This window comes from Homo sapiens, chromosome 2, assembly GCF_000001405.40.
Source record: "Homo sapiens chromosome 2, GRCh38.p14 Primary Assembly".
NCBI classification, from domain to species: domain Eukaryota; kingdom Metazoa; phylum Chordata; class Mammalia; order Primates; family Hominidae; genus Homo; species Homo sapiens.
Window position 1 is genome coordinate 109,079,651 of NC_000002.12, and position 12,852 is coordinate 109,092,502.

A 12,852-nucleotide genomic window follows, 5' to 3' on the forward strand; every position below is an offset into this window, starting at 1 on the left:
AGAAGCTCCAGTGCTAAACGCTGGAATATGAAGATATGCATGGTGGGGAGACAGCACACACACACATAACACTCAAGGCCTGGTGGAGCCCACCCAGCTCAGCCTGGGTTGGGGAGGCTCCCTGGGAAGGGGATTCCTGATGTGAGCCTTCCAGGAGGGGTAGGAATTCTCTACACAGACAGGTGGGAACTCCAGGCAGAGGGGAGGCCTGAAACACATCACAGGCCACCCTGTCCCTAGACTGCTGAGAGGCAGGACGGGGCTACACGGCCATGGGTGTGAGTCACCAAGGACCCTGTGCCTGCTGAGGCATGAGGACGCATTTCTGGGACGACAGAAAGACAGCAAAGGGCTTCAGACTATGGAATACCCGGAATAGGGCTCTAAGCATCTCCTCCGATGATTGTGGACTCAATGCAGGAAATGTGGAGGCTTCGAGCTAGACCAGTGACAGAGGAGGGAAAAGGAGATGGGGCCCATCAATATTTGAAACTTGGCAAAACGCAGCAAGATTTTAATGGTTAATCAAAAATGGGAGGTGAATGGGAGAAAGAGGAGCTGACAACCACTCCCACAATTCTGGTTTCCAGGGCGTGTTATAGCTGAGAGGGCAGCAGTTTGAGTGGCTGGGCAGCAGAGGCTGGGGTTGAGGCTGGGAAGTGGCGGCAGCAGGGGAGACTGCCCCATCAGGAGCCTGCCATAAGCGTGGGATGCAGAAGGACTGGAAGGTGCTGGAGGTGATGTGGAGCTTTGGGAGAGTGTCGGAGGGATGGAATAAGTTGATGCCTGTTCCGAGACCAAGAAGTGGGGAGCAACTGAAGAAACTGGAGAGTGGGAACCAGGTTGCAGCTGGTCTCCAGATGCTGCACTCTCTGACAGCTCTCATCTATCTCACTGTCACCCAGGATTGGACAGGACATCTACAAATGTGCATGTGTATTTGCTATAAGGTGCATTCTTTTCCCCTGGAGATAGTGACCAACCTTTCAAGAACTATTCTTGGGTATATTTTATCATTTCTTTATTTTAGTATCTATGAAGGGAACATTATAGAAGCCATGTTAACACTGGAGAAATGTCTAATATTAAAAAACCAGTACTCTAGCAAGTAAAATTATGTATGTGTGTAACCTCGTTCCTACATCCAGGAAATCATTAAACTAGTAGGGGGTTGTATTAATTAGAACTCTCTGTTGCAAACAACAGACAGTCTGGATGATTTAAAAGGAACAGAAATGTATTAAGAGGATATTGGATAGTTCACAAAACCTCCAGGAGGGCTGGAGAGCCAGGCTGGATGCTGTGCCACTGACACAACATTCAAAACTCACAGATTCTTCTGCTGCCATCCACTATGCTAGCTACCAGCCATGCATGGCCATGCAGCACTTGATGTGTGCCTGCCCAACTGAGATGTGCTGCAGGTGCACAATACTCACTGGACTTCGAAGACTAAACGTGAAGAAAGGACATAAAATCTCACTCAGGTTAAAATGATATCTGCACACACTGGGTATTAAGTAAAATACATTGAAATTAATTTCACTTGTTTCTTTTTGCTTTTTAAATGCAGTTACTAGAAAATTTTACATTACCTGTGGGAAATTGGCTCCACATCATTTCCTCTGTTTTCTATTGATCGAATTGAGTCCTAAGGCCACATCTGATATTTGGGGGAAAGGAAATATACATCACCTCCAGATGGGGGCAGCCCCCCATGCAGGGATGGGGAGCTGCCCGAGGCTGTTTTTGGAAACATCTGTGGTCCCCAACAACAGTGCTTCTGGCCTGTTTTTTCACATGGGGCTCCGCGTCTGTGGCTGACTCAATGCTGGGCTTGAGGTGGGGGTGACTGTCACATGACAGATTAGGTCAAGCCTCCATCGTGCTCAGGGTTTATGAGACAGATCACAAGGGCCTCTGGGGACTGCCTGTCGCTTGTGGTCCTGGGGAACCAACCCCATGGTCAACTCCACCTCTGAACCTCTCCTGCAAGGGGCAAGAGCATCCTGGTAACCTTGCCCATCCTGACACCTGCTGTGGTAACTCATTCCCTGCTCTGGCACTTGAGCAACCCCTCGGCCCCACCATCCCAGGACTTCACAACCTGCCGCCGCCAGGGAGCCCTTTTTGCAACCACAGTGCCTGGCAGCAGTGACATGGCTTGCAGAAACACATCCTTGCTATTCAGTTGCACTTGCCAACGAGGCATCTTCTGGGGTCTTGTCGGGGAGATCACTGGGGGATGGCCAGCTGTTTTCATAGGAAAAGTCTGTCTGGTTCTTCATCTCCGTATTTGTCCTCCACACTGCTCACTGCATTTCTGCATCCTGGCTTTGTGTGGGGCATGCTGCTGTGGACTCCAGCATCTGTCAACCCAAATGCAAAGGCGGAGCCCACCTCGGCTGCAGGAACTGCCACACTGAAGTGCTCTACCCATGCTTCAGCTGCCTCCAGAATCCATTCCCATATGGGCTAACCAGATGTGTGCAGCTAATCAACAGTTAGCATTTCTGTCTTTGGATAGTAAGGACTTCTGCTTCCAGACTTCAGATCTCTCCTTAGGTAGCAGCTCTGACCCAAGGTTAGGATTCCAGGACTCAGTCAGCTCCTGGTATTCCTTAGCACCCCTTTTTTATTTTATTTTATTTTATTTATTTATTTTTTTGAGACAGAGTCTCTCTCTGTGGCCCAGGCTAGAGTGCAGTGGTGCTATCTTGGCTCACTGCAACCTCCGCTTCCCGGGTTCACACCATTCTCCTGCCTCAGCCTCCCGAGTAGCTGGGACTACAGGTGCATGCCACCACATCTGGCCAATTTTTGTATTTTTAGTAGAGATGGGGTTTCACCATGCTGGACAGGCTAGTGTCGATCTCCTGACCTCGTGATCCACCTGCCTTGGCCTCCCAAAGTGCTGGGATTACAGGTGTGAGCCACCACACCCGGCCTAGCACCCCTTTTTAAAACAAAAAGTTTTTATCATGGTAATATATACAAAACATAAAATTTACCATTTTGAGCGGGCACAGTGGCCTATGCCTATGGTCCCAGGTACTTCAGAGGCTGAGGCAGGAAAACTCTGTGAGGTTGGGAGTTGGAGGCTGCAGTGCACTATGATGGCACCTGTAAATAATGACTGCACTCCAGCCTGGACGACATATCAAGACCCCATGTCTTTTTTTTTTTTTTTTTTGAGACGGAGTCTCACTCTGTCTCCCAGGCTGGAGTGCAGTGGCGCCATCTCAGCTCACTGCAAGCTCCGCCTCCTGGGTTCACGCCATTCTCCTGCCTCAGCCTCCTGAGTAGCTGGGACTACAGGCATCTGCCACCATACCTGGCTAATTTTTTTGTATTTTTAGTAGAGACGGGGTTTCGCTATGTTAGCCAGGATGGTCTCAATCTCCTGACCACGTGATCCACCTGCCTCGGCCTCCCAAAGTGCTAGAATTACAGGCATGAGCCACCATGCCCGGCCAAGACCCCATCTCTTAAAGAAAATTACCATTTAAACCATTTTAAGCATACAGGTCAGTGGCATTAAGTACATTCACATTGTTGTACAACCATCACCACCATCCATCTCTATAACTCTTTGTACCTTCTCAGACTGAAACCCTGTACCCATCAAGCGCTAACTCCTCATTCTCTCCACCCACCACAGCCCCTGGCACCCACTATTCTACTTTCTGTCTCTGTGAACTTGTCTTCCCTAAGTACCTCATATTAATGAAACCACACAGTATTTGTCGTTTAGTGACCAGCTTATTTCCCAGAGCATCACGGCCTCCAGCTTCATCCATGCTGCAGCGTGTGTCAGAATTTCCTTTCTTTTTAAGACTGAATCATATCCATTGTATGGATGTAGCACACTTTCTTTATTCATTCATCCTCTGATGGACACTTGGGATGCACACTCGGCTTGCTTCTGCCTCTTTGCTGTTGTGAATAACGTTGCTGTGAACATGGGTGTGCAAATATCTCTCGGGGACTCTGCTTTCAGTTCTTCTGGATATACTCAGAAGTGGGACTGCTGGATCATATGGTGATTCTATATTTAATTTGCTGCAGAACCACCATCCTGTTTTCTGCCGTGGCTGCACCCTCTTACATTCCCACCTGCAGTGCACAACACAGCACTCCTCTTTACCCAGTGTCATCACCTCCCTTTCTCATTTTCCTTGGCAGCTTTTCCAAAACATTTTTCAATTTCCCTCGGCTTCTCTCCTATCTGCATACTCTCCCCTCCTGTGCCCCAAACCCCACCCGGTCCAGTAGCCAATCAGCTGCATAGCAAGAGGCCTGCCAGCATGAGTGGTCTCCAGCGAGATCATGATTTACCTTGATCTTAAAGCTTTGTGTCACCCTTTCCCTCCAGATGTCCTAAAACTGACACCAGCCAATTGCAAAGCCAATTGGTGTGGAACTTTAGGAGTTAGGTTCCTGGCACAGCTTCGCCTCCCCCAAGTAGCTCCATCCATGGCACCTTCTGCTGCCTCTCAAAACTCCTCCTTCTTTTTCTGGAGGAAAACCTACAATTCAAGATCTCCAACAGAAATTGAACTAACTAGGTACCAGCATGGCCTATTTCTCCAACTTCAAGTTAACGTCAACCAAACTCATCTGGAATGTTGAGACCGAAAAACATCTAGGAAAATCTTCACAGTGGTGAGAAGGGCGTTGGATATTTGGAGACGGAGAACAAAGAAGACTGATTTTCAAGTGAGAAAGGCATCTACATTGACTGATAGCAGCTGTGACTCTTTCAGGACAGAGGCTGTTGCTGTAAGCACTGGATGATACTGGAGTGACATGACAGGCCTGAGGAGCCCTCCCCTAGTCATTCAGATTCCTGGAAGTCTCTACAACAGGAGCTGGCCCAAGACCAGGTTGATGTTGGCAGTGACATTGCCATCTCTGTAGGATACTAGAGTGTAGCCTCTTGTCTTTGCTTCTCAGAGGTGAAACAAGTGGAGTGACTCAGACTGCCAGGTTGTGCCAGCTGGGGTCCAGGTTCGAAGGAGCTGAGACCTGTGAGGCTGTTAGGAACAACACAAAGGGCGTTCCTCATCCTGAGGACCAGGAGGAGAGGCACGCAGGACCCACCACTTGTCAGCAGAAATGACAGCATGAACACTGTGGACGCCACTCATATTTTGTTCGTTTTTTCCATCAAGGAGCATGAACTTCAAATAGTGGAGGGCACTGCCAAGAGGAAACTGATGCCTACGGAGGGAGGCAAGTTAGTTGCAGAGGGAATTTATCTCTGCAGGCCTTGGCAAATTACAGTCCAGCATTTTGAGTGAATCTCTGTTGATAACACCTGAGCCTGACCTGGTGAACCTTGGGCAATGACAGAGCAGTTGCTCTCACTGCGGGGGACAGAGAATCATCTGCCTGTATTGCTGAACAACACGGGTCCACCTCCTGGCCGCCAGGTAAGACCTCCAAAGGAATAAGAGACTCCAGGAAGCCGAGGAGGACCGGGTTTGAGCCCTTCCTGCTTCGTTATGAGGGAGCTGAGCCCATTCCCGTTTGAGAGGCTGTGCTACTCTTCTTTGAGCTCCACCACTCCATAGCAGGGGGCACATCAGTGATCAGTTAATCCAGTTTTTGTATTGTGGTAAAATATGCATAACAAAGTTTACCATCAAAACCATTTATTTATTTTTTTTAGATAGAGTCTTGCTCTGTCGCCCAGGCTGGAGTGCAGTGGCGCAATCTCGGCTCACTGCAATCTCCGCCTCCTGAGTTCACGCCATTCTCCTGCCTCAGCCTCCCAAGTAGCTGGGCCTACACGCGCCCGCCACCACGCCTCGCTAATTTTTTGTACTTTTAGTAGAGATGGGATTTCACCATGTTAGCCAGGATGGTCTCAATCTCCTGACCTCGTGATCCGCCTGCCTCAGCCTCCCAAAGTGCTGGGATTACAGGCGTGAACCACCACACCTGGCTTTTTTTTTTTTTTTTGAGATGGAGTTTCACTCTTGTTGCCCAGGCTGGAGTGTAATGGCACAATCTTGGCTCACTGCAACCTCTGCCTCTCAGGTTCAAGTGATTCTCCTGCCTCAGCCTCCCAAGTAGCTGGGATTACAGGCACCTGCCACCACGCCTGGCTAATTTTTTTATTTTTTTTTAGTAGAGACAGAGTTTCACCATGTTGACCAGGCTGGTTCTGAACTCCTGGCCTCAGGCGATCCACCCACCTTGGCCTCCCAAAGTGCTGGGATTACAGGTGTGAGCCACCACACCTGGCCCATCAAAACCATTTTTAAGTGCACAGTTCCGTGGCATTAAGTACATTCATGCCATGTACTGCCATCACCACCATCCATCTCTTAACTGTTCTAGGGAGTTCATATTAGTGGAATCATACCATATTTGTCCTTTGGTGATGGGCTTATTTCACAAAGCATAACGTCCTCAAGTTTCATCCATGTTGTAGCATGTGTCAGAGTTTCCTTCCTTTTCATGGCTGAATAATATTCCATTGCAGGCATGTAGCACGTTTTGCTTATCCAGTCATCCATCAATGGACACTTGGGCTGCTTCCACCTCTGGCTGTTGTCAACAGTGCTGCTGAGCACTCGGGTGCAGGTACCTGTTAGCGTCTGAGGTTGTTGGGGGAGGGGGGCGGTCATTGTAAAGGCACTTGTTCATTCCTACCATTGAAGGAGCTCCTGGAACTCTTGGATGCAGGGCCCTAATATTTCTCGATTGCCATGCACCAAATGCTGTGTGAAGTCCTTTTCTATATATGATCTCATGTAATTCTCCAAACAAGCCCAAGGATTGGTGGGGGTCTCGTTTTACTTTACAGATAAGGCTCAGGTTGGAAACTTGCCAAGGCTGTCTTGTGGGAAGGGACAGACCCTCATGGCAACCGAGCTGGGCTGAGCCAAGACCAGTCTTGGGTGTGTCAGACTTCCCTGCCCATCGAGTGAGTCTTCTGCAACCTTTGTAAAGTGCAGGCTCTGTCTCAGCAGGTCCAGGGCCTGAGATTGCATTCCATAAGGCCCCTGCCAGGTGACACTGACTCTGCTGTGGGACAACACCATGAGCAGCAAGGTCCTGTCACCACTGCTCTTGGGACCGTCTTCCCTGTTCACTCAGACTTGCTGGGGTGCAGCCACAGCTTTCCAAGCAACAGAGAGACCCAGGAAAGGAGTCCTTTGTGTGGCTGAAAACAGTGCCTCCCCAAGCCCACATCATCTTTACCTGCAACTGCCAAGGCCACATGGAGAGGCTTGCCCTTGGCCCTACAAATGAGCTCTTCACAAGGGGCGATACTAAGCTCCCGGGCCCACAGCACATCAATTCTGTCAGATAAAGGATGAACTCACATGTGCTTGGTTGAAGGGTTGTTAAGAAGTCTTTTGAAAGCACCAGGATTTTTAGGTAGCAAGTTGGGACAGGGGACCCCCTGAAGACAAGGCGAATGAACTGAAAAACCGCAAATTGTCCCTGGGCCAGAAAGAGCCCTCTGTTCCCTTTGGGGTCCTTGGAGATGCTCGGAAGGCTCTGGTCAGGGCCATGGGAGCTGGACGTGGCCATTGCAGGACATTCAACAGGATGACCAGGCTGGGCACTAGGCCTGCTGGTGTATGCTGCAGACACTTTGGATGACTCTTGGCAAGGGAGGTGGACTCTCTCTTGTGTTTTCCCCTTCTTTTCCTTGTATTGCCTCACAAAATGCTGCTGCGGGGGTTCTTTAGGGATCTCCTGGCCCCTCCTCTCATTCTCACAGATGTAGCAACGGACGCGCCTGAGGGTGAGATCACCTATCCGGCAAAACAGACCAGACTTGGACTTGTTCCTAACTCTGAGCGCAGGGCTCTCTCCACTCCATAACCAAGGGGCTTTGGAGGGTCAACTACGTTTAAACTGTCAGGCAGCACAGCATAAGGTCAAGGCCAGGAGACTTGGAGTCAGACAGTTTTGGGTTCAAGTCCTCCTGCTAACACTATGTTATCTAGGGCAAATTACTGAACCTCTCTGGGCCCCAGCTTATTGAAGTTTAAAATGGGAACAATGATACCTAGAGTGGGAAACAGTGGGTGGAACCTATGAGCTGCAACAGGGAGCTTGGAAGGATGTGGTCAGGTAGTGGAGGAAGCAGATGCTGCAGGTGGGGCCCTGGAGGAGTGGGAGAGCAGGAACAGGGCAGCCTCCATGAGGACAGTGGGAGGTTGATTTCATGGCTCAGCTTCTTAAAAATCAGAGCATGGTGGTTCTAGCACCAGCTTGGTGCCAGGCAGACCAGACTGTGAATTCCGGCTCCCCCATTGTGTGGCCTTGAGCAACTTGTCTAATGCCGTTAAAATTTAGTTTCTTCGGCCGGGCGCGTTGGCTCACGCCTGTAATCCCAGCACTTTGGGAGGCCAAGGCGGGCGGATCATCAAGTCAGGAGCTCGAGACTAGCCTGGTCAACGTGGTGAAACCTCGTCTCTACTAAAAATACAAAAATTAGGCCGGGTACGGTGGCTCACACCTGTAATCCCAGAACTTTGGGAGGCCGAGGTGGGCGGATCACAAGGTCAAGAGATCAAGACCATCCTGGCCAACATGGTGAAACCTCATCTCTACTAAAAATACAAAAATTAGCCAGGCATGGTGGCGCGCGCCTGTAGTTCCAGCTACTCAGGAGGCTGAGGCAGGAGAATCGCTTGAACCCGGGAGGCGGAGACCGCAGTGAGCCGAGATTGATCCACTGCACTCCAGCCTGGGTGACAGAGCAAGATTCCATCTCAAAAAAAAAAAAAAAAAAAAGAGCAGCGAAAGAGACAAAAACATGGTATAGAGGTAGTTAAATTAATCACCTAGGATGTTTTAGGGTAGGGAGCCAGGAAACAATGCTGTCTTTATTATTATTATATATTTTTTGAGACAAAGTTTCACTTTGTCTCCCAGGCTGGAGTGCAGTGGTACGATCTTGGCTCACTGCAATCTCCGGGGTTCAAGGCGTGAGGTTCTCACGCCTCAGCCTCCCAAGTAGCTGGGACAATAGGCGTGCACCACCACACCTGGCTAATTTTTGTATTTTTAGAAGAGACGGGGTTTCACCATGTTGGCCAGGCTGGTCTCGAACTCCTGACCTCAGGTGATCCACCCGCCTTGGCCTCCCAAAGTGCTTGGATTACAGATGTGAGCCACCATGCCCGGCCAGTGCTGTCTTTAGTAAAAGAAAAAATAAAAGTAATTCTTGTGGTTAAAAAAGTAGAAAATGGTATATCTATGCCAGGTTCCAAGAGGATATTATAATAAAAGGGAGGGAGAGTTGAGCCCCAAACAAAAGATGAAAAGCGATCGCTGAATTGATGGCATCCCTTTACATTTAAGAAGCAGGTCTGCATAAGCAAGAGGGGCTTTGGGAGAAGAGTAGGGAGCAAACTCGAGTTCTTTCAGGGCACAGTGGGGAAAAGTAAAGAACAGGGGAAGCAATGAAGGTGAACAGGAAGCCCCACAGGAGGAAAAGCGAGAGAGAGGCAAACAAGAACGCTTCCTTCGGGAGAGCCAGATGGGTGGGATGGGGAGGGAACCAGCAATTCCAGTGAGGGCAGGAGGAAATAAATCATGAGAAAAACATTCAAGGTAAAACCAACTGGGATTTTTTTCTGAGAGCAGGAGAGGATGGAATGTGTGAAAATATGTCAGTGTTAAAAACACAGGGGTTGGCTGGGTGCAGTGGCTCATGCCTGTAATCCCAGCACTTTGGGAGGCCGAAGTGGGAGGATAGTTTGAGCCCGGGAATTTCACACCAGCCTAAGCAACACAGTGAGACCCCCATCTCTATTTAAAAAAAAAAAAAATTAGCCAAGCATGTTGGTACACAACTGTGGTCTCAGCTACTTGGGAGGCTGAGATGCGAGGATTGCTTGAGCCCAGGAGTTCAAAGCTTCAGTGAGCTGTGATGGCACTACCGCACTCCAGCCTGGGCGACAGAGCAAGACCTTGTCTCTAAAAGAGAAACAGAACAAAAAACCTGGTGGGGACATGTGTTGGAAAGCAGGAACTCAGGAGGGATAAGGAAACAAAATGAGGGGTTGGACATCTCATTGTCTGGATGTGGTGATTTGGTTGAGTTTCAGTTCTTTGATAGTTTTTGAGAGGCCTGGGAGGTCATTTCCTGAGGAAGGAACTCAGATAAAACAAATGTAAGTTTCAAGTTTCAAGACCAGATGGGTCAATTTCTATGTTTATCCAAAAGAACTGTCTATGGGACTACTGGGTCTGATTCAGAAGGGCATCATCGCATGGCAGGCAAAGCATTCAATTCATGCTCTGCTGCTAGACCAAGGGCTCCTCCCAGCTGATGCAAACTGGCAGTTCAAATTATTATTTGAAAAATAATTTTAATAGTTCTATGCCTTCTCCAAACTGTTGCCCTCTCATAATAAGAGAAAAAGGAGCAGCCTAAACGACCTGACAGGTGACTGATAGGTGTCCCAGAAAGCGACAACAGAGACCACACAGAAGAGGAAATGCGCAGAGGAGTGAAAGCTTAGAACTTTCAGACCTGGGTTTTGTCCTGAAGGGCAACAGGGTGTCCACCTGCTGCCAATGGTACTCTGTCCTTATGCTCATCTTGGTGCATGTGGAGGCAGGGAGTGTTCCAGGGTTGGTTCCTAAAATCAGAATTGTGGGGTTGTAGGACACCTCGCCTCACACACACACACACACACACACACACACACACACACACACACACACACCACGTCTATGGAATTTTCAGAATATTAAGTGCAAAGAGCCTATGAAAAGTCCCTAGCAAGATAAAAAGCAAAAGTCAGAAATTAAATAAAGTTGAAACAACAAAAATAAGTCCTTTACAAGGGAATGAGAATCAGGCTGGCATCCACCTCCTCATGACGAGCATCGAGACCCTAGGAGACTCTCCAGCTTCTGGAGCAAAATCACTGTTTTTTTCCTTACAGGATCTAACAGGCACGAAGGGGGCCTCATTTTAATCCCAGTTCTGTCCAATCTTGATTTCATTTATTTAATTAGTTGCTTTAATTTTTAATATTTTGGGGCTTTATTTTTATTTATTAGACTTGTTAAAATTGTTTTCTTCAGTGAATTTCTTCAGGGCCCTAATACTTAGCTAAGCGTAGAACTATTAAAAATATTTTTCAAATAATAATTTTTTTAGATAACAGTAATAAGAGTTCACTTCTTAAATTTCCAGTCAAACTTATATATATCATTGATTTCCATCCTCTACTCAATACAGCACACTATTTTTTCATACAATTTTCCCACAACCTGCCATCAGATGTTCCTTCCTCCATGCCACCTCACTCTGATTTTGAGAAAGCTGATCGTTTTTATTTAAAGCTTTGATATTTTGTTCATCATGGACCTTTTGCATTAATTCTGAGCTTTAAAATAAATATTGTGAGACCCTGATCTCTACAAAAAATAAAAAAGTAAAATAGTCAGGCATGGTGGTACACGCCTGTAGTCCCTGCTACTCCAGAGATGAGGCGGGAGGATTGCTTGAGCCTGGGAGTTTGAGGCTACAGTGAGCTGTGATGGCACCACTGCACTCCAGCCTGGACAACAGAGCAAGATTCTGTCTCTTAATAAATAAAATAAAATAAAATAAAATTTAAAAATAAAAATAGATTAATCTTGTACTAAAATAGGAATCCTCTGCATATTTTTGGTGTCCTCTCCTTTTACATTTTGTGTCTCATCACTGCTCCCTCTGTTTTAGTCCTGCCCCTGATTAGAAGCTTCTAGTTTTAATGGATTTTATGTATTTTTCTTTTGTAGTTAGTTTTCCTATCATGTTAAAAACATCCTGGAGACTGATCTGAGTAATAATAAAACTCCAGTCTTCTGTACAGCCAGCTCTGCGTGCATTACTCTTTCTCTATTGCAATTCCCCTGCCTTGATAAAATCGGCTCTGTCTAGGCAGTGGGCAAGGTGAACCCATTGGGCAGTTAACAAATTTGGGAGCTTGTCCCGGATTGCCCCTGTGGCTACCTGCCCATGGTTTGGTAGCCCCCTCCAGCAATGGATCCGGAGGCCAGCCCAAGAGGCCTCCTAGTTCTCTTGGACTAGGGGCTGGCTCTGGTACTGTCTACTGGTGGGGCACTGCTGACCCAATGTGCATGGATTTAATTGCAATACAGAAATAGTCCTGGGAAGATGTCCCTTAACTATAGCCCTATCACAGGGTATCTGTCTGTAACCTCATGGTGGGGTGTCTGTAGCCCCATTGTGGGATGTCTGTTTGTAGCTCCACCACCGAGTGTCATCTGTCTCAGTTTGTCTCCTGGGGAGGTCTCAGTTGGCTCTCCCTAACTAGTAGGAAGAGTCTTGGTTCAGGAGACTTCTCCTGAATCAGGAAGATCTGAGGAGATTTCTCAGATGGAATATAGGAGGATAGTTTGGGAGGGATAATCTTGGAGTTCTTGGTTAGGGATCTGATTTGGAAGGCCTTCTGTCTGTCTCATTTTTGTGTGTGTCTGTGTATGTGGAGGGGATCTCAGAAGGAACTGCTGATGGAAATCTAGCAGTCCTAACTCAGAGGACCCTCCTAATTTGTCTGGTCACAATTAGTAAGCCCTGAGGAACAGGCCTGTCTTTTGGTAAGCGCAACAGGCCTGTCTCAGGGTGACTATCTGCTCTTTGCTTTGCCCAGAGACCCCATTGTGAATTACCATCCTGAGGTCATCCCTCCCCACCTGGAGTGGATCAAAGACAACAGAGACCAATCAGAAGAAGTTTGAGCTTTGCCAGGTTGATATTGGGTGCTGAATGAGGTGACTAGTGTCTGTTTTGTTATGTATATTTTGCTGGGATAGAAAATGTTCATTTGGTTTCCCATGCAGCCCATTGGTCAA

General features: G+C 47.9%; 1 protein-coding gene across 1 annotated transcript in view, besides 1 other annotated feature; it reads left to right on the top strand.

Annotated features, from left to right (window-relative positions):
* Nucleotides 1-12,852, top strand: part of RANBP2 (RAN binding protein 2) — a 1,122,820-nt gene that overhangs the window by 360,169 nt on the left and 749,799 nt on the right. The window lies entirely within an intron of this gene.
* Nucleotides 9,077-9,284: a silencer, noted in NCBI's record as "fragment chr2:109705183-109705390 (GRCh37/hg19 assembly coordinates)". NCBI's record gives its function as "represses an EF-1alpha promoter that drives an FKBP-Casp9 reporter gene in an ReSE screen in K562 erythroleukemia cells {active_cell/tissue: K562}" and the evidence as "EXISTENCE:reporter gene assay evidence [ECO:0000049][PMID:32094911]".